An 18,622-nucleotide genomic window follows, 5' to 3' on the forward strand; every position below is an offset into this window, starting at 1 on the left:
CAGAAGAGGGGGCATGGAGCTGTGGGAAAGGTGGGGCCCTCCAGGAGGCTAGAACCCTGCACCACCTGAAAGAGTCAGGAGGGCCCAAGTGTCTCGTCTCCTGAGGGTGTGTGTGTGTACACTACCATCGTGTGTCCAGGAGGAGATTCCTGTCCTAGAAGGGATTTCTCCTCCAACATTCCTTCTCCCTTGGGTAACCAAGTGAGGTGCTGAAACCCATCCTCTTAATTAACAGAGGTGCTCTGGGAGGCCTGAAGTCTCTTCAGACTGCTGGCTCAAACAGACCTGAGAGTGGCTGCATTTGTTTTTATGAAGCCCTACATGTGATCAGAGCTGCTCTGGGCAGCCCCAGACTATAGGCCTGAATAGAAAAATATCCTCTCTCTGATCCAGGATCCACTAGCAAAATGAGCAAGGGTTTTGTTTTTTCCTCTGGTGAAGGGAGGAACTCATCAAGTAGTTAATATGCACTACTTGACTTGATGCAGGGAAATACAGAAAACCATGAAATTTACATTTATATGACTTTATGAGAAAAGGCAGATAAACACTGCACTCGCATCCACTGAAATGGTTTGCGCACTGGAAAGTCTAACTCGTGGAAATTACCTCTCCGACTGTCATTCCTAACATTGTGAGGCTTGAGAATTCATAAACAAAATATGATGGCATCTTCCTGAACCACAGTACCCAAGTTGCTTTGCCGTGCATACAAATTCTGGAGGAATTAGATGAAATAGAGTGTAGCTTTTGCTAAAGAAGCTAGAGCATGCTTCTATATGAAGCAACAAAACTTTTCCAAGTTTTGAAAGATAGACTTGTGACATCCCAGATTGGTTGTTATTATTGGTTCTATAGCAATTGTCTTCCTTCTTTGGTAGAAACATGTGGAAGATGAGATAATGTATTTAAGCCATTTGTTGATGTTTTCCAGTCTAATCACCCTTGTTTGCTTGACAGCATTGTTGGTATGTTGGTGATATGGTAAAATATAAACTCCATCTGCAGTTATCAAAGCTTTAGTACCTCATCCTCCCATCTGAGCTAATGGATGACGTTCTAACTAACCAACAGTGGCACTTTGTGGCTGGCTCAAACTCAGATCGTTTTCCAAAGATGATGTTAGGAACATTTGTTTAGCATGTAGCATACAATCAGGAGCTATTTTTCTTTACTATATTTTTCTCTTGTTTGTTTTCTTTCCTTTCTGGATATTCTGTTTTGTCTTTGCCTATTTCTCTGGTTCACAAAGGGTCCCTTCAGTTATAATGTTAGGAGGCCTTCAGAGTTTTGGCTTCTTTTTCTCCTTCTTCCCCTTCTCCTCCTCTTCCTTTTCTTTCTTTCCTTCCCTTCCTCCTTTCCTTCTTCCTTTTTCCTTCCTTCCTTCCTTTCCTTCCTCCCTCCCTCCCTTTCTCCCTCCATTCCTTTTTCTTTTTCTTTCTCTTCTCTTCTCTCCTCTCCTCTCCTCTTCTCTTCCTCTTCCTCTTCTCTTCTTTCTTGATAGGGTCTAGCTCTGTCTCCCAGGTTAGAGTGCTGTGGTGCAATCATGGCTTATCACAGCCTTGACCTCCTGGGCTCATACGATCCTCCCACCTCAGCCTCCCCAGTAGCTGGGACTACAGGTGCATGCTACCACAACAGGCTAATTTTTTTTTTTTTTTTTTTTTTTTTTTTTTTTAGATTTGGGATTTTGCCATGTAGGACAGGCTGATCTCAAACTCCTGGGCTCAAGCAATCCTCCTGTCTTGGTCTCCCAAAGTGCTGGGATTACAGACATGAGCCATCTCACTGAGCCCAGCATCTTTCTTGATGCCAGGTTCATTGTCATTGCTGTTTGTTTTTTGTTTGTTTCAGGGTTTAGACCTTCAACATTATATGGACATTTGCTATCAGTTTTCTTGAAGATGATGGGTTAACTGCCCAAACAACTGACACACAAAAACCCAAATCACAAGAATCAGTATAATTTATTATTATTATTTCTACTCTTTGAGTTTTCATCTTTAGGATTTAAGGTACTATGGTCCTACAGGAGTCTGAGCTTATTCTAAATTCCTCACTTTCAGTCTGGGTGCGGTGGCTCACGCCTATAATCCCAGCACTTTGGGAGGCCAAGGCGGGAAGGTCGCTAGAGGTCAGGAGTTCAAGACCAGCCTGGCCAACATGGCAAAACCCCATCTCTCTACTAAAAATGCAAAAATTAGCTGGGCATGATGGCACATGCCTGTAGTCTCAGCTACTCGAGAGGCCGAGGCACAAGAATCACTTACGGTGGAGGTTGCAGTGAGTAGAGATCACACCACGGCACTCCAGCCTGGGTGACAGAGTGAGACTCTGTCTCAAAAAAAAAAAAAAATCCTCACTTTCTTCATTAAAAATATAAAGCATGTAAAGATTAAAGTTAAATTGGATCAGGAAGTGGATCCCGTGGAGTGAAGATCAGACCACGGTGGATTGACTTCTAAAGACTCTTGGTACACGAGGAAGAAACCTGGAAGAGGAAGAGGAAAGCAAAGGGGTCAGGGATGGCTCTTCCTCAGGGTCTATTGACATTCAGGGATGTGGCCATAGAATTATCTCAGGAGAAGTGGAAATGCCTGAACCCTGCCCAGAGGACTTTATACAGAGACGTGATGTTGGAGAATTATAGGAACCTGATCTCCCCGGATATCTCTTCCAAATGCATGATGAAGAAGTTGTGATCAACAGGGCAAGGCAATACAGAAGTGTTCCACATAGGCACATTGTAAAGACTTGCAAGTCATCACATTGGAGATTTTTGCTTCCAGGAAATTGAGAAAGATATTCATGACTTTGTGTTTCAGTGGCAAGAAGATGAAAGAAATGGCCAGGAAGCACCCATGACAGAAATAAAAAAGTTGATGGGTAGTACAGACCAATATGATCAAAGGTATGCTGGAAACAAGCCTATTAAAGATCAGCTTGGATCAAGCTTTCATTCTCATCTGACTGAAATGCACACATTTCAGCCTGAAAGGAAAATTGGTAATCAAGTTGAGAAGTCTATCAACGATGCTTTCTCAGTTTCAGCATCCCAAAGAATTTCTTGTAGGCCCCAAACCCATATTTCTAATAAGTATGGGAATAATTCCCCCCATTCTTCATTACTCACACAAAAACAGGAAGTACACATGAGAGAAAAATCTTTCCAATGTAATGAGACTGGCAAAGCCTTTAATTGTAGCTCACTCTTTTTTTTTTTGAGACAGAGTCTCGCTCTGTCACCCAGGCTGGAGTGCAATGGTGTGATCTCGGCTCACTGCAAGCTCCACCTCCCGAGTTCACGCCATTCTCCTGCCTCAGCCTCCTGAGTAGCTGGGACTACAGGTGTCCGCCACTACGCCCAGCTAATTTTTTGTATTTTTAGTAGAGACGGGGTTTCACCGTGTTAGCCAGGATGGTCTTGATCTCCTGACCTCGTGATCTGCCCGCCTCGGCCTCCCAAAGTGCTGGGATTATAGGCGTGAGCCACCGTGCCTGGCATCCCAGCACTTTCAGAGGCCGAGGCAGGTGGGTCACATGAGCCCAAGTATTCAAGACCAGCCTGGGCAACATGGTGAAACCCCTTTCTCTACAAAGAATACAAAAATTAGCTGGGCATGGTGGCACATGACTGTAGGGCCAGCTGTTATGGAGTCTGCAGTGGGAGGATGGCTTGAGCCTGGGAGGTCGAGGCTGCAGTGAGCTGTGATCATGCCACTGCACTCCAGTATGGGTGATGGAGCAAGATACTGTCTCAAAAAAAGAATACTTATGGTAAAGTTTGGGTAGAGGAATAAAGAAATCATTGATGTTTTATGAAAAGGTTATGGAGACGATGCCCAAAAGAAATCAACAGTTTGTAAATGAAGAACTCATTTTGATTTGGGACAAGACAGTGTTGAAAGTGATGCACGGAGCGGCAGGCAGACCATCCCCATCAGTTTCACACACACACAAAATAATCTTGTTCATACCACAGTGAAGAGGACTGACAGCTAATAGCAGAAACAATAATCAGGAGTTTGAGAACAGGCTGGTTAACATGGTGAAATCTCGTCTTTACCAAAAATACAAAAATTAGCTGGGTTTGGTTGCGGGCACCTGTAATCCCAGCTCTACGGAAGTCTGAGGCCAGAGAATTGCTTGAACCCAGGAGGCGCAGGTTGCAGTGAACCGAGATGGCACCATTGCACTCTAGCCTGGGCAACAAGGCAAAACTTTGTCTCAAAAGAAAAAAAAAAGTGTCAAGCCCCTTCTCTTTTTTTCTCCGCCATCGTGGTGTGTACTTGACTGTGCTTCTCACCAGATCTTCTCACAAGACTTTCAGAATTAAGCGATTCATGGCCAAGAAACAAAAGCAAAACCGTTCCATTCCCCAGTGGATTCAGATGAAAACTGGTAATAAAATCAGGTACAACTCCAAAAGGAGACATTGGAGAAGAACTAAGCTGGGTCTATTAGTAATTGCACATGAGATGGCACACATATTTATGTTGTCTGAGCGTCACAATCACATTACCATATCAAGCTGAAAATGTCACCATTATCTGGAGAGTTGGACATGTTTTATTTGGCATACATTTTTTCTCTCTGAATCTGTTATGAATGCATTGGTTGCCTGGGTTCAGTAATAAATATGTGAGACTTTTCATTAAAAAAATTAAAGTTAAATTTCCATGCCATTAATGGAGAAAAGGAGCATTTTAACAAAAACGGTTTCTCCCCACCCCATTTCCATTTGATGCCAATCAAAACATATCACTGGCCATTCAGTAAAAATAATTTAATAAGCCCAAGAACAAAAGCAGCGTGCTTGTACACAGACATATAAATTAAAGAAAATGAAAGAATAAAGAAAACTAAACTCTACTTGTTAGCGTATCCTGGAACGAAATTGTAGTTTTCTAACTGAGAATGTGTCTTTGTCTGTAGAACACAGTTCTGGGTTCAAGTAGCAGGTACTTTTTTTTTTTTTTTTTGAGATGGAGTTTCGTTCTTGTTGCCCAGGCTGGAGTGCAATGGCACGATCTCAGCTCACCGCAATCTCTACCTCCTGGGTTCAAGTGATTCTCCTGCCTCAGCCTCCCAAGCAGGTGGGATTACAGGCATGCGCCACCATGCCTGGCTAGCAAGTACTCTTTTTTAAATAGATGCCTCCTTTTTTGCTGCCCAACACATCAATTGTATCTTCTCCCTCCACTTTCAGCTGTGCAGGTATCTACTTCATTGATTTGCTGCTTGTCAAATGCAGATCTGATCTGCCTGACAAACCCCATCCCTCACAATAGGCTCTGGCATTTGAAGGCTTGGCTGGGACTAGGATCTGTTTCCAAAGTGGCTCACACATATGACTGGCAAGCTAGTGCTGGTTGTTAGCAGGAGGCTGCAATTCCTTACTACAAGGACATTTCCGTAGGGTTTCTTGAGAGTATCATGACATGGCAGCTGGCTTCCCCCCACTGTGAGTGATCCTGGACTCAGGTTTTGATAGAGAGAAAGGAATTCCTGCTACCATAACTTTCCTAGCCTATCCCATCACCTCCACACATTCTTGCCCTTGGGAGGAAGGGGAGTTTCCGGTTGGTAAATTTAGTGGAAGGAATTAAGTGTGGTCAGTTAGCTTCCTTGGGCTTATTTTGGAGCAGGTTAATCCTCAAGAGGCAGACATTCTACTCTCATCTATTTTTTTTTGCCAGACGAAAGGGCCCACTCTTTAGGGGAGTCTTTGACTTGTCCATCTATGCCAGGAACTGAGTGGGCTGGGTTGAAGGTAAGCCCGTGTGGCTGTAGATCTAAAGTCACGACCTCCCGTCGGCATTGCCAGTGACATTTTGAGCTCCACCAATATGATTCGATATCAGTTAGTTCTCAACAGTGGAAGAGCAGATGGGACCTCTTCCAACCTGAAAATTTGATGGAAGGGAATAAAATTAGATTAATTCAGCAAATAATTTGAAGAATGAAATTGTTTCCCACTGGGTAAATCTGAACATCTTCAAGGCTGAGGATATTACTGTGTTCAATTCTTTTCCTTACAGCCTAAGAAGGTACCATCAAGACTTCTTCCAGAGGAGTGTTTGGATAGGGAGAGCACAGGAAATCGGGGGTGGAAGTGTAGAGAGAGAGAGTCATTTTTGTTTATCATCCTTGCCCTTAAGTTTTCTCACGTGCTTTGGTCAAATGTCTAGTGGTGGTACTAATGTGAGAAATATCAACCAGTTAAAATTTTCATGGCAGACTTTTGACTCCAATCTCTACTTCCTGTTGTAACAACAGATCCTCAACAATGACGACGACTACTACTATAATAATAGTACTTACTATTTTTGAGCACCTACCATAAGCCCAACAGCATCCTTTGAACTTTACATACATTGTTTCTGATATAAATATCAGATACCTAAGAGGTAGATATTATTTTCATTTTACAGGTGAGGACAATAAGGCCCAGAGAGATTAAGAAACATGCTGCAGGTCACACAGAGATTGGAACGCCTTTCTGTCTGACTCCAAAGCTGGTGCTCTTTTCATTCTGTCACATCTCAACTTTTCAGGGTGGAGAGGGCAGTTAAAGAAGAGGGTGTTCTTGCTTTTTGAGGCTCCTTGACTTCTCCTAGGAGGGTTTTCCAGATAACCCAGAAACTCAGGGGACATTAAGGCAGAGGATTCAATTCAGAGACCATCTTACCCTTCCAACAGTCCCATCTCTTGCCCCACTTGCTTCCCAGCCGTGAAACTGTTATCACATCTAACTCGGAACTGTGCTAAGAGGCCATCTGTTCAGCCAGGAGGTGCCATTATCTTTTATGGTCCTTTAAAATGGCCGTTGCCTGAGTAATTGAAACTGCATTTGACAATGGAAGATGAGATTCTGTGTCTCTGAGGGACCATATCTACATTGCTATTTTGTCTTCCCATGGCAAAAGGAACTTGAAAGAACTCGAATGTTGAGAGGGAAGAACAGCAATTACCTTAATAGGTGTGGTAGTCAGAATGATGGCTTTCCACAGCTATCCATGTCTTTTTCCCTGGGACCTGGGAATGTGGTTCCTTACATGGCAAAAGGGACTTTGCAGATGTGATTAAATTAAGAGATTTGCATTGGAGGAGATTATTTTGGATTATCTGGTGGGCCCAATATTATCACAAGGGTCCTTAGGAGGGAAGGAAGGAGGCAGGAGAGTCAGAGAAGATGTGACTACAGCCGCAGAGGATTGCTGACTGGGGGTCATAAGCCAAGGAATGCAGGAAGCCTCTAGAAGCTGGAAAAGGCAAGGAAACAGATGTCCCCTAGACCCCTAGAAGTAACACAGCCGTGCTGACACGTTTTAGTCCAGTGAGACCCAGTCAGATTTCTGACTTCTAGAACTGTATGTTAATTTGTATTGCTTTAAGGCACTACATTTGTGGTCACTTGTTACAACGGCAGCAGGAAATGAATACACTAAGATACTCTCTACTCTTCCTCACTTAATTATTTATACAACTGGCCATTAAAAATCCTGGCCAGAACCTTTGTGTCTACTAGGGACCTCGCCATCTAGTCTTTTCTCGCAAAGCAAGAGGCATCGGCATATCACGTCTGGCGTACCATGTTGTTATTGCCTCTTTTCATAATGGCCTTTTGGAGCAAAGAGCTTACACAATACTGTTTCATACTGATAAGTAAAGAAACTTTGACAGATCAATACCATTTCTGTGGAGTCAAACACTAGGGGGCTCTGCATAGCCTGTTACTTACTCTGAGATGTAATAAATACAAATCAGCAATAGTACAATTAGTAGATGGCATATGTCCATTTGTGGCTTGTGCTTCTGGAAAACAAGGCATGGCTATCACCACTAGGCAGCTCCCTGGGTTTCCTGAGTCAGCTATTACCAACGGAACTGCTTCAGTGCTACGGGAAATGAGGTGAAAAAAGTCAATGACTACCAGTCAAGCTCCAAAGGAAATGGCACAGCTAATGTAAGTTCCTCTGAAGCTGACCCGGTATCTGCTGGTTGACAGTTAATGACCCTGGTTGGGACCCCATTAGAGAGTGGGGTAAAGAGCATCTTTGTTTTCAGCTGAACACTTTAGAAACTGCCTTGTGGATTAAAGGCGTCCACTGACTAAATGCCAGCCAGCAGGATAATGATTTAACTAACCCTCCTGCTGAAGCTGGTGGAAACCCAGAGCAGTCATTTCCTGGTAGAAACTCTTACCACAAAACAAATTCAACTGATTTCTGCCTGCTCCTCTCATCCTCTGTGGAGATCAGAAAGAGCAAAACAGTTTGAGCTGGTTAAACCAAAGATGCCTTCCGGAGGGCTTCAATTTGCCAACACCGCAGGAAGCCAGGATGAGCCGGGGTCCAATAAACCCCATGCGGCTTTGGCGCAGAGTGTCAGGTCACTTCCAGATTCTTACACTCCTCTGTGCTCTGGGCTATCTCCTCTATGCACTCTCAGGGGAAAGTTCCCCTCATTAATTAAATGCTGCATTACCCCTTAATGAGTGTTATGCACTGGTCACATTACTGCTAAAGCAGAAATAAGGCATTACTGCCTTAAGCATTGGAAATCATCCCAGTAACTGGCTAACGCTAAGCTTGTCAAGATACCAGAATCTAACATCGAATTAGTCAACCAAATTACCAGAAGGAGATAAAGTGACAGTTTGGCATTTCCATTTTACTGACAGGGTTAGAAATCTATGTCCCTTACAACGTATTCCCTGAGCACCTCTGACGTGCTGGCACACTTAGAAAAAGCTAACTAATCCTATGTTAATGTGTACAGTCAGGACCCGAGACCTAAATCTAGGTAGTGTCTCAGATCATTCACTATTTGGGATTATTTGCATTTCTATTATTTTGTCGCTAGGAAGATGGCAAGATGAACTTAGACAAAATTTAATTCTTGGGTGGGCACTCTGCCAGATGTATCATTTAATCTACAGACTAACTTGGTGTCAGTTTGGGTCTTCCAATAAGCAAATGCTGAGATAGACTCACAGTTATCGGGGAATAACACTAGTGTCTCTATTTCATTTACTTCGGCTCTGATCTTTGTGATTTCTTTTCTACTGGCAAATTTGGGTTTGGTTTGTTCTTGTTTTTCTGGTTCCTTGAGATGCAACATGAAGTTGTTAATTTTTGATCTATTTTTTTTTTGATGCAGGCATTTAATGCTATAAAATTCCCTCTTAGCATTGTTTTTGCTGTACCCCAGAGGTTTTGGTATGTTGTGTTTCTGTTTTAATTCATTTCAAAAAAGTTTTAAATTTACACCTTAATTTATTCATTGACCCAGTGATCGTTCAGGAACATGTTGTTTAATTTCCATGTATTTGAATAGTTTCAAAAATTCCTCTTGTTGTTGATTTCTAGTTTTATTCTGCTGTAGTTTGAGAAGATACTTGATATGATTTTGATTTTTAAAAATTTGTTGAGACTTGTTTTGTGGTCTAAAATATGGTCTGTCTTGGAGAATGTTCCGTGTGCTGATAAGAACATATATTCTACAGTTGGTGTGCAGATTAGTCTATAACATTCTAAGTCTATTTGGTCAAAAGAACAATTAAGTCCTTTTTTTTTTGTTATTTTTCAGTCTCGATGACCTGTCTAGTGCTATGACTGTGGTATTGAAGTCCCCCACTACTGTATTGCTGTCTATCTCTTTCTATGGGTCTGCTAATATTTGTTTTATGACCCTGGGTGCTTTGGTGTTGGGTGCATATATATTTAGGATTGTTATATCCTCTTGCTGAATTCATTCCTTTATCATTATATAATGACCTTCTTTGTGTGTTTTTATTAAATTGTTTTTGATTTAAAGTGTGTGTGTGTGTGTGTGTGTGTGTGTGTGTGTTGTTTTGTTTTGTTTTGAGATAGAGTCTTGCTCCGTCACCCAGGCTGGAGTGTAGTGGTGCAATCTTGGCTCACTGCAACCTCCGCCTTCTAGGTTTAAGTGATTCTCCTGCCTCAGCTTCCCGAGGAGCTGGGATTACAGGTGCCTGCCACCATGCCCAGCTAATTTTTATATGTTTAATAGAGACAGGTTTTCACCAGGCTGGCCAGGCTGGTCTTGAACTCCTGACCTCAAGTGATCCACTTGCCTCGGCCTCCCAAAGTGCTGGGATTACAAGTGTAAGCCACCACACCTGGCCCTAAAGTCTGTTTTTTTTGTTTTTGCTTTTTTTTTTTTTTTTTTTAAACGGAGTCTCGCTCTGTCGCCCAGGCTAGAGTGCAGTGGTGTGATCTCAGCTCACTGCAAGTTCCACCTCCTGGGTTCACACCATTCTTCTGCCTCAGCCTCCCGAGTAGCTGGGACTACAGGCGCCCGCCACCATGCCTGGCTAATTTTTTTTGTACTTTTATTAGAGACGGGGTTTTACTGTGTTAGCCAGGATGGTCTCGATCTCCTGACCTCGTGATCCACCTGCCTCAGCCTCCCAAAGTGCTGGGATTACAGGAGTGAGCCATCGCGCCCAGCTAAAGTCTGTTTTATGTGATGTAAGTATAGCTATTCCTGCTTGCTTTTGGTGTTTTTTGTTTTTTGTTTTTTTTTTTTGACTGAGTCTCGCTCTGTCACCCAGGCTGGAGTGCTCACTGCAACCTCTGTCTCCCAGGTTCAAGCAATTCTCCTGCCTTAGCCTCCTGAGTAGCAGGGATTACAGGCGCATGCCACCACTCCCAGCTAATTTTTGTAATTTAGTAGAGACGGAGTTTCACCATGTTGGTCAGGCTGGTCTCGAACTTCTGACCTCTTGATCCGCCTGCCTCAGCCTCCCAAAGTGCTGGCATTACAGGCGTGAGCCACTGTGCCCAGCCTCTGCTTAGATTTTAAAAAAATCTAAGAGGAAATTTTTCCTAACTCATTCTATGAGGCCAGTACCACTCAAATACCAGAACTAGACAAGGTCATAAGAGAAAAAAAACAAAAAAACTAAAGACCAATATCTCTGGTAAATATAGATGCAAAAATCCCCAACAAAATACTAGCAAACCAAATCCAACAGCACATCAAAAAGATAATATACCATGATCAAGTGGTTTTACACTAGGGAGGCAAGGTTGTTTCAACATATGCACATCAATAAATGTGACTCATCACATAAAGAGAAGGACAAAAACCACACATGATCATCTCAATAGATGCAGAAAAAGCATTTACTGAAATTCCTTCATGATAAAAGCCTTCAAACTAAGCATAGAAGGAACATACCTCAAAATAATAAAGGCTGTGTATGACAGTCCCACAGCCAACATCATACTGAATGGGAAAAAGTTGAATGTGTTCCATCTAAGAGCTGGAACAAGAAAATAATGCCTACTTTCACCATTCCTATATTCAACATACTACTCAAAGCCAGAGAAATTGGGCAAGAGAAAAAAATAAAAGTCATACAAGTTAGAAAAGAGGAAGTCAAATTATTCCTGTTCATTGATGATATGATCTTATTTCTAGAAAACCCCAAAGACTCCACCAAAAAACTCTTAGATTTTATGAATAAATTCAGTAAAGTTTTATGATAAAAAATCAACCTGCAAAAATCAGTAGCATTTCTATATACCAGTAATGATCAAGCTGATAACCAAATCAAGAAGGCAATGCCTTTTACAATAGCTAAAACAAAACAAAACAAACAAAACAAACAACAACAGCAAAAAAAAACCACCCTAGGAATGTATTTAACCAAGGAGGTGAAATACCTCTACAAAAAAACCCAAAAAACACTGAGGAAAGAAATTTTAGATGACACAAACAAATGGAAAAACCTCCCATGTTCATGGATTGGAAGAATTAATATCATTAAAATGAGTATACTGCCCAAAGCAATCTATAGATTCAATGTAATTCCAATCAAAATACTGTCATTCTTCATAAAATTAAAAAAATCCTGATTCATAATGAATAATAAAAAAAAAGAGCCCAAATAGCAAGAGCAATCCTAAGTAAAAAGAACAAAGCTGGAGGCTCACTTTACCTGACCTCAAGTTATATTGCAAGGCTACAGTAACCAAACCAGCATGGTACTGGTATAAAAATAGACACACAGATCAATGGAACAAAATAGAACTAAGAAATAAAGCCGTATATCTAAAGCCAAGTGATCTTTGACAAAGTTTGACGAAAGAATACCCTTGGGAAAGGGCAACCTTTTCAAAAAATGGTGTTGGGAAAACTGGATAGCCATATACAGAAGAATGAAATGAGATCCCTGTCTCTCACTATATAAAAAAGTCAATTCCAAATGGCTCAAAGGCTCATGTAAGACCTAAAACTATAAAAATACTAGAAGAAAACCTAGGGAAAATTCTTCTGGGCATTGATCTAGGCAAAGAATTCATGACTAAGATTTCAAAAGCACAAGCAACAAAACCAAAAATAGACAAATGGGACTTAAACAAAAAACTTGTGCACAGCAAAAGAAATAATCAACAGAATGAACATACAACCTGCAGAATGAGATAAAATATTTTCAAACTATGCATCCAACAAAGGACAAATGTCCAGAATTTACAAGGTACTCAACTCAACAACGACAACAAAACAAATAGCCTTATTAAAAAGTGGACAAAGGACATGAAAAGACATTTTTCAAAAGAAGATATACAAATGGTTAATAACATATGAAAAAATGCTCAATATCACTCATATAATTAGAGACATGCAAATTAAAACCACAATGAGATACCATGTTGCACCAGTCAGAATGTCTATTAATAAAGACAAAAACAACATATGTTGGTGAGGATGGGGAGAAAAGGGAACACTTACACACTGTTGGTAGAAATGCAAATTATTACAACCTCTATGAAAAACAATATGGAAAATTCTCAAAGAACTAAAAATAGAACTATTCAATCCAGCAATCCCACTACTGGGTATCTACACAAAAGAAAAGAAATCATTCTATCAAAAAGATACCTGCACTCATATGTTTATTGCAGCACTACTCACAATACCAAAGATATAGAAGCAACCTAAGTGTCCATCGACAGATGATTGGATAAAGAAAATGTGGTATCTATACCCAGTGGAATACTATTCAGCTATTTAAAAAGAATGAAATAATATATTTTGTTGTAATATGGATGGAACTGAAGACCATTTTCTTAAGTGAAACAAGTCAGACAAAGACAAATGTTGCATGTTCTCACAAGTGGGAGCTAAATAATGTGTACACATGGACATAAAGTATGAAATGATAGACACTGGAGACTTGGAAGAGTGGAGGGCTGGGAGCGGGGTGGATGATGAGGAATTAGTTAATGGGTATGATGTACATTAATGGGCATGATGTACACTAAAAGCCCAGACTTCACCACTATGCAATATATTCATGTAGCAAAATTACACTTGTACCCGTTACATTTATACAAATAAAAAAATTAAATTAAAAATGATGCAGTAATCCAGGCAAGAAATGATGAAGACTTGGATTGGGCAGGGCATGGCGGTGGGGATAATCATATTTAGGACGTATATTTTGAAGGTAGAATTGATGGTATTTGCTGGTAGACCCAATCCAAGGTGTGGGAGAAGAAAAACATCAGAATGACACCAAGGTGGTTGGCCTATGCAGTGAGAGGTATGGTGTTGCCACTAGCTAAGAAAGAGAAGACTGCAGGAGCAGCTGGTTCAGAGGGCTATTAGAAGCTCATGCAGCTGTGGTAAATTTGAGATATGTAGGCAATAGACACAAAGGTCTGGAGTTCAAAGTAGAGTTCTGGGCTGGAAATATAAATGTTAAGAACCATTCACTTATAGCTGAAAAATTAAATTTAAAGCAGTGAGTGCAGCTGACATTACCAAGGGAGGGAGTGGACATAGATAAGAGAGGACCAAGGTCTGAACCCTGGACTCTCCAACCTTTAGACACCAAAAGAGATAAGAAGAAATTAGCAAAAGAGATTGAGAAGAAGAATAGGAAGAAAAACAGCTAAAAGAAGCAATTATTTCAAGTGATCAACTGTGTTAAATGCTGGTGATGGGGTATGTAAAGTGAAAACTGTGAAATAACCATTGGATTAAGAATGTAGAGAGATCGTTGGAGACCTTGAAAAAAGTAGCTTCAGTGAGATAGTGGGGGCGAAACCTGACTGAAGTGGGTTCTAAAGAATTTGGAAACAGTGTATATATTATTATTATTCTTTTTTTATCACTCTTAGAATTGAAATATATATATATATTCTAAGGAACTCGCTTGTAAGGAGGAGAAAATTAGGGCAATGTTTGGAGGGAGAAGTGAGATCAAGAGAGGGTTTTAGAATATGGGAAATATGACAGCCTGTTTTTATATTGGTGAAAATTGTTCAGTCAAGAGGAAAAAATTGATAATACAGGAGAGAGAAGGGAGAATTTCTAGTGTGAGGTCTTGAGTAAGAGGGGTGAGAAGGGATCTAGTGCATGTGTGGAAAGGCTGAAAAGGTGTGAAGATTCAAGATGTGGAATGATATGGAGGAATTAGGAAATGAACAGAAAAGAACCCTTCAGAATTTGCCAGTCACTATAACCCTTTTCTTGATTATTTTGGGCACATGTACTTGCCTCATACAAGCCAACTTTGATTGTCAGGCCTCCTCCAAAGTAATAATTTAGTTGGGAGGTGGGCCATGTAGCATTAGTAATTTGTGCACAGTGAGGGCAGCCATATGACCCAAGCATGGTATTCTTTTTTTTTTTTTGGAGATGGAGTTTCACTCTTGTTGCCCAGGCTGGAGTGCAATGGCACCATCTCAGCTCACTGCAACCTCCACCTCCTGGGTTCAAGCGATTCTCCTGCCTCAGCCTCCTGAGTAGCTGGGATTACAGGTATGTACCACCACGCTGGGCTAATTTTTGTATTTTTAGTAGAGATGGGGTTTCTCCATGTTGGTCAGGCTGGTCTTGAACTCTCGACCTCAGGTGATCCACCCGCCTTGGCCTCCCAAAGTGCTGGGATTACAGGCGTGAGCCACCGTGCCCAGCCAAGCATGGTATACTTCTTCAGAACTTCTATAGCTGCCATATCACACTCTTGGCTCCTAAGTGTGTGGTCAACTCAGATCTCAAGATCACCTTCACATACGTTTAACTCTGAGAGAATAGAAATGGAACAGTTAAACATGCAGGAAAAGGGAGACAGCCCTGAAAGCTTCAGAATTAGACAAGAATACAGAGGTGAGGCACAGGAAACAGCACGATGGTGCTGAGCGCCCAGCCACAGAAAGGAGTCGCACTGGAGGGAGCTTTGGGGTAGGGGTTCTAATAAGTGGAGAGATCTGCTTATTAAAAAGATTCTGTTGGGGGAGATATTCATTCACATTCTGCTTCTATTACTAAATTTCATTCAACATTTCAATAAATTCAGCGGTTGGCAAAGGTGAAGCATAAGACAATTTTCACTGACTGGCTCTCTGCAGGCTCCATTAACTGCCTTCTACACCAGGATGTGAGTATGGAGAGCTTCAAATGCTTACAAGGTAACAATAGAGTGCTCAGCATTACAAGGGAGTGAGTGAAGGAAGACTTGGCACACAATGAAATGTACCACTCTGTGCCTTTACCTATTCCTTTCTTAGGTCCACATACTTCCTCCCTTAGGAAATCTTCAAGGCAGGGTCACAAATTATATAAAGAGGATATATTTGAAGGTTGAAAAATTAACTTGATCTAGTAATAATCCACAGGTTGTAGTCCATGCCTTTATTTATTTATTTATTTAGAGACAGAGTCTCGCTCTGTCACACAGGCTAGAGGGCAGTGGCGCGATCTCGGCTCACTGCAAACTCCACCTCCCAGGTTGAAGCAATTCTCATGCCTCAGCCTCCTGAGCAGCTGGGATTACAGGCATGTGCCACCTTGCCCGGCTAATTTTTTTATTTTTAGGAGAGATGGGGTTTCAACATTTTGGCCAGGCTGGTCTCGAACTCCTGGCCTCAAGGGATCCGCCCGCCTCGGCCTCCCAAAGTGCTGGGATTACAGGCATGAGCCACCGCACCCGGCTGATGCCTTTATTTTGACAGAATAATAAAGAAATGTACATACAATAACCAACTGTTATCTAAAAATTGAAATGGGTAACAGTTAAGTAGAACACAAAGTCCATATAGATTATACTTAATAAAAAATTTTACTGCCAATATACAACTAAAAATCAGCCAATTAGTCTAGATACGACAAAGAATAAACACAAACTCAATGTATGCCTTTGAGGCTTGACAGCTTTGCTGAATTATGAATCCCTCAGGGAAGACAGACATAATTTGTTACCTAAATATAAGAACTACGAGCAACAGTTTCCTATCACTTGTTGGCCATTTGATGAATTGATTCTTGATGATTGACACTAACAAACTGATTACATATGTGTGTATACACACCTTAAGGGAATGGAAAGATAGCCGTGAGAGAAGAAAAGGATGGTAAAAGAAAAAAAAAAAACACAACAGTGATGTCTTTCAAAGGCAGATAACTGAGTTCTATCTGTAAACTTCCTTTGCTTGTGAATTCATTTGTAAACACTAATCCATATCTAGTTCACTCAATTTGAGAATATTTAATAAGAAAAACTTCATTAATTAAACACACTTGTTTTATTTTTTGGAAAAGGAAAAGATAAATGTAATTATAAACCCACAGTAACAAACCATAGAAAAAGTTAAGTATCTTTCCCAAAGAATGAGAATAACTTAGGAGAAGAAACTAAAACATTAGTAGGACTCTGAGAAAGTATTTCCCAGCATTTTACAAGCTCTAGCAGCCTCTGTAGGGTTGAAAAGGTACTACCCATCACCAGGGTCATGGCAGATACTCCTACAAAAAAAGGCAGGTGAGCAAGAGAGACGCACAGCACATTTGTTAACAAAGTTTTATGTGACATGGGAGCTTTTTGAAATGAAGACCCAAAGATCCAAGGAAAACTGTGTAGTTTTATGGTTTTCTTTCACGGAGAATGGACAAGCATGTAGAAATGTGATTGGACAAACGATTGAATGAGAACGAACTGAGAGGGAACCCACTAAGACCTGTTTGTGCAGATTCTTCCTGGCCAATCTGTAACATTTCTTCCTTTGGGGGTCGAGGGCAAAACACCTGTCATTTCGCAGCCTTTAGGGGAGAAGGGAGAAGGTCAGACAGTAATATTTCTTGCTTTGAGGGAGAGGAGTTCTACTTTCTATGGCTTACTTCAGGAGAGAAATGAGGGAAAGTGAAGGAAGATGGGAGAAGGTCAGAGGGAATTTTTTGCTCTTCTAGGGATGGAAAAATTCCACTTCCACCCTCTTAGGGTCTTGGCTGGGTCTGAGAATTAAATTAACATAATATAGATTAACAGGTGAAAAACATACAAATTTATTTAATACAAGTTTTACATGGCAGGGGAGCCCTCATGCATAAATGAAGACCCAAAGAAGCAGTTAGAGTGAGTTACTTATATACTGAATTGGACAAGGAATTACAAGTTGTGAAGAAGCAACTAACTTGTGTGGAGAGGCTTTAAAAGATAAGAGTGATTCTATCAAAGTCTACAGTATTCTCTTGGTTTTAACTTTTCATCCCTGAAGATAAGGATGCTGTCTTTCCTCCTAGTACAGGGAGAGTGTCTTCCACACTGGAATTTCATCTTCTGCTCTTAAGAAACAGCATGAAGGTCAAAGTGATCTTCTGGCATCTGCTGTTTTTCAGGTGTTTTTAGCTTAAACAGTTAACATGCCAGAATATCATATTTGAACACCTTAACTTCTGAGGCCCTTCCATCCTCCTTCAGTCCAAAGTACCCACTATGCCAAAGTACCAAATTTTGGGGTATCACGCTCTGAGCTCTAATACCTCTTAATTAAATATAGTGATGGTCATTTTAAAACATACTATTTTTATACAAAAATATGTAGGTATTAGAAAATATACACTTTAAAAAATTACTTGCAATTCCACTTTCCAGAAAGGATAGAATTTGCATTTTGGTGATTATATTTTCAGAATGTTTTCTATATGGGGCTTTGAGGCAGAGAAAAGAAATGAAGTGGCAGAGAGGATATCAAATATTGTGATATTTTGAGAAATCCTTTGAGGAATTTTTACAGATATATATATATAAATATTTGACAATTCCAAATTATTTCAGAGTAATTGATAAATCCAAAAATTTGCACAAGAAAGAGTAAGACCTAGAAGATGATGAAAACATCACAGAGAAGGAGTGGGGGTAGATACCAGTCATGAGAGGTGATCTATTTGTAAGTCACAAAACTAATACTGTTGTCTTGACTGGTATTGAAAATTCAACAAAAGAGGAGGAGGAGGTGGAGACATAAAATGAGAACTATCAGAGTGTAATTTTGAAACTTGTTTCAAGTGTGTGGGCAGGCAGTGGTCGGGGAGGGCGCTCTGGTATATCAGTGCACTCCATACTTGAGTTGAGGTTAAAAAATGCATGCATATCACAATAGCAGATTGAAACCTTATACACTGAGCCCTTGGAGAGCAGAACAAAGAGGAAGTGGAGAAAGGATTCCACCACCAGGTGATAATACTCACCGGTCCAAAGGGAAATAAGAGAGGGAAAAATCATTGCATTCAATCAAAACCTTATGCTCTGATGCCAAACTTACACTGCCCAGCTAATGGAAGTGGTTTGACCCATTGACCT

The 18,622-nt window shown here is 40.8% G+C and overlaps 2 pseudogenes; both read left to right on the plus strand.

Moving 5' to 3' along the window:
• On the plus strand, positions 2,410-2,667 carry LOC100131411 (zinc finger protein 28 pseudogene; annotated as a pseudogene).
• RPL39P21 (ribosomal protein L39 pseudogene 21) lies at positions 4,254-4,656 on the plus strand (annotated as a pseudogene).

Source organism: Homo sapiens, chromosome 5, assembly GCF_000001405.40.
Source record: "Homo sapiens chromosome 5, GRCh38.p14 Primary Assembly".
Classification (NCBI taxonomy): Eukaryota; Metazoa; Chordata; class Mammalia; order Primates; family Hominidae; genus Homo; species Homo sapiens.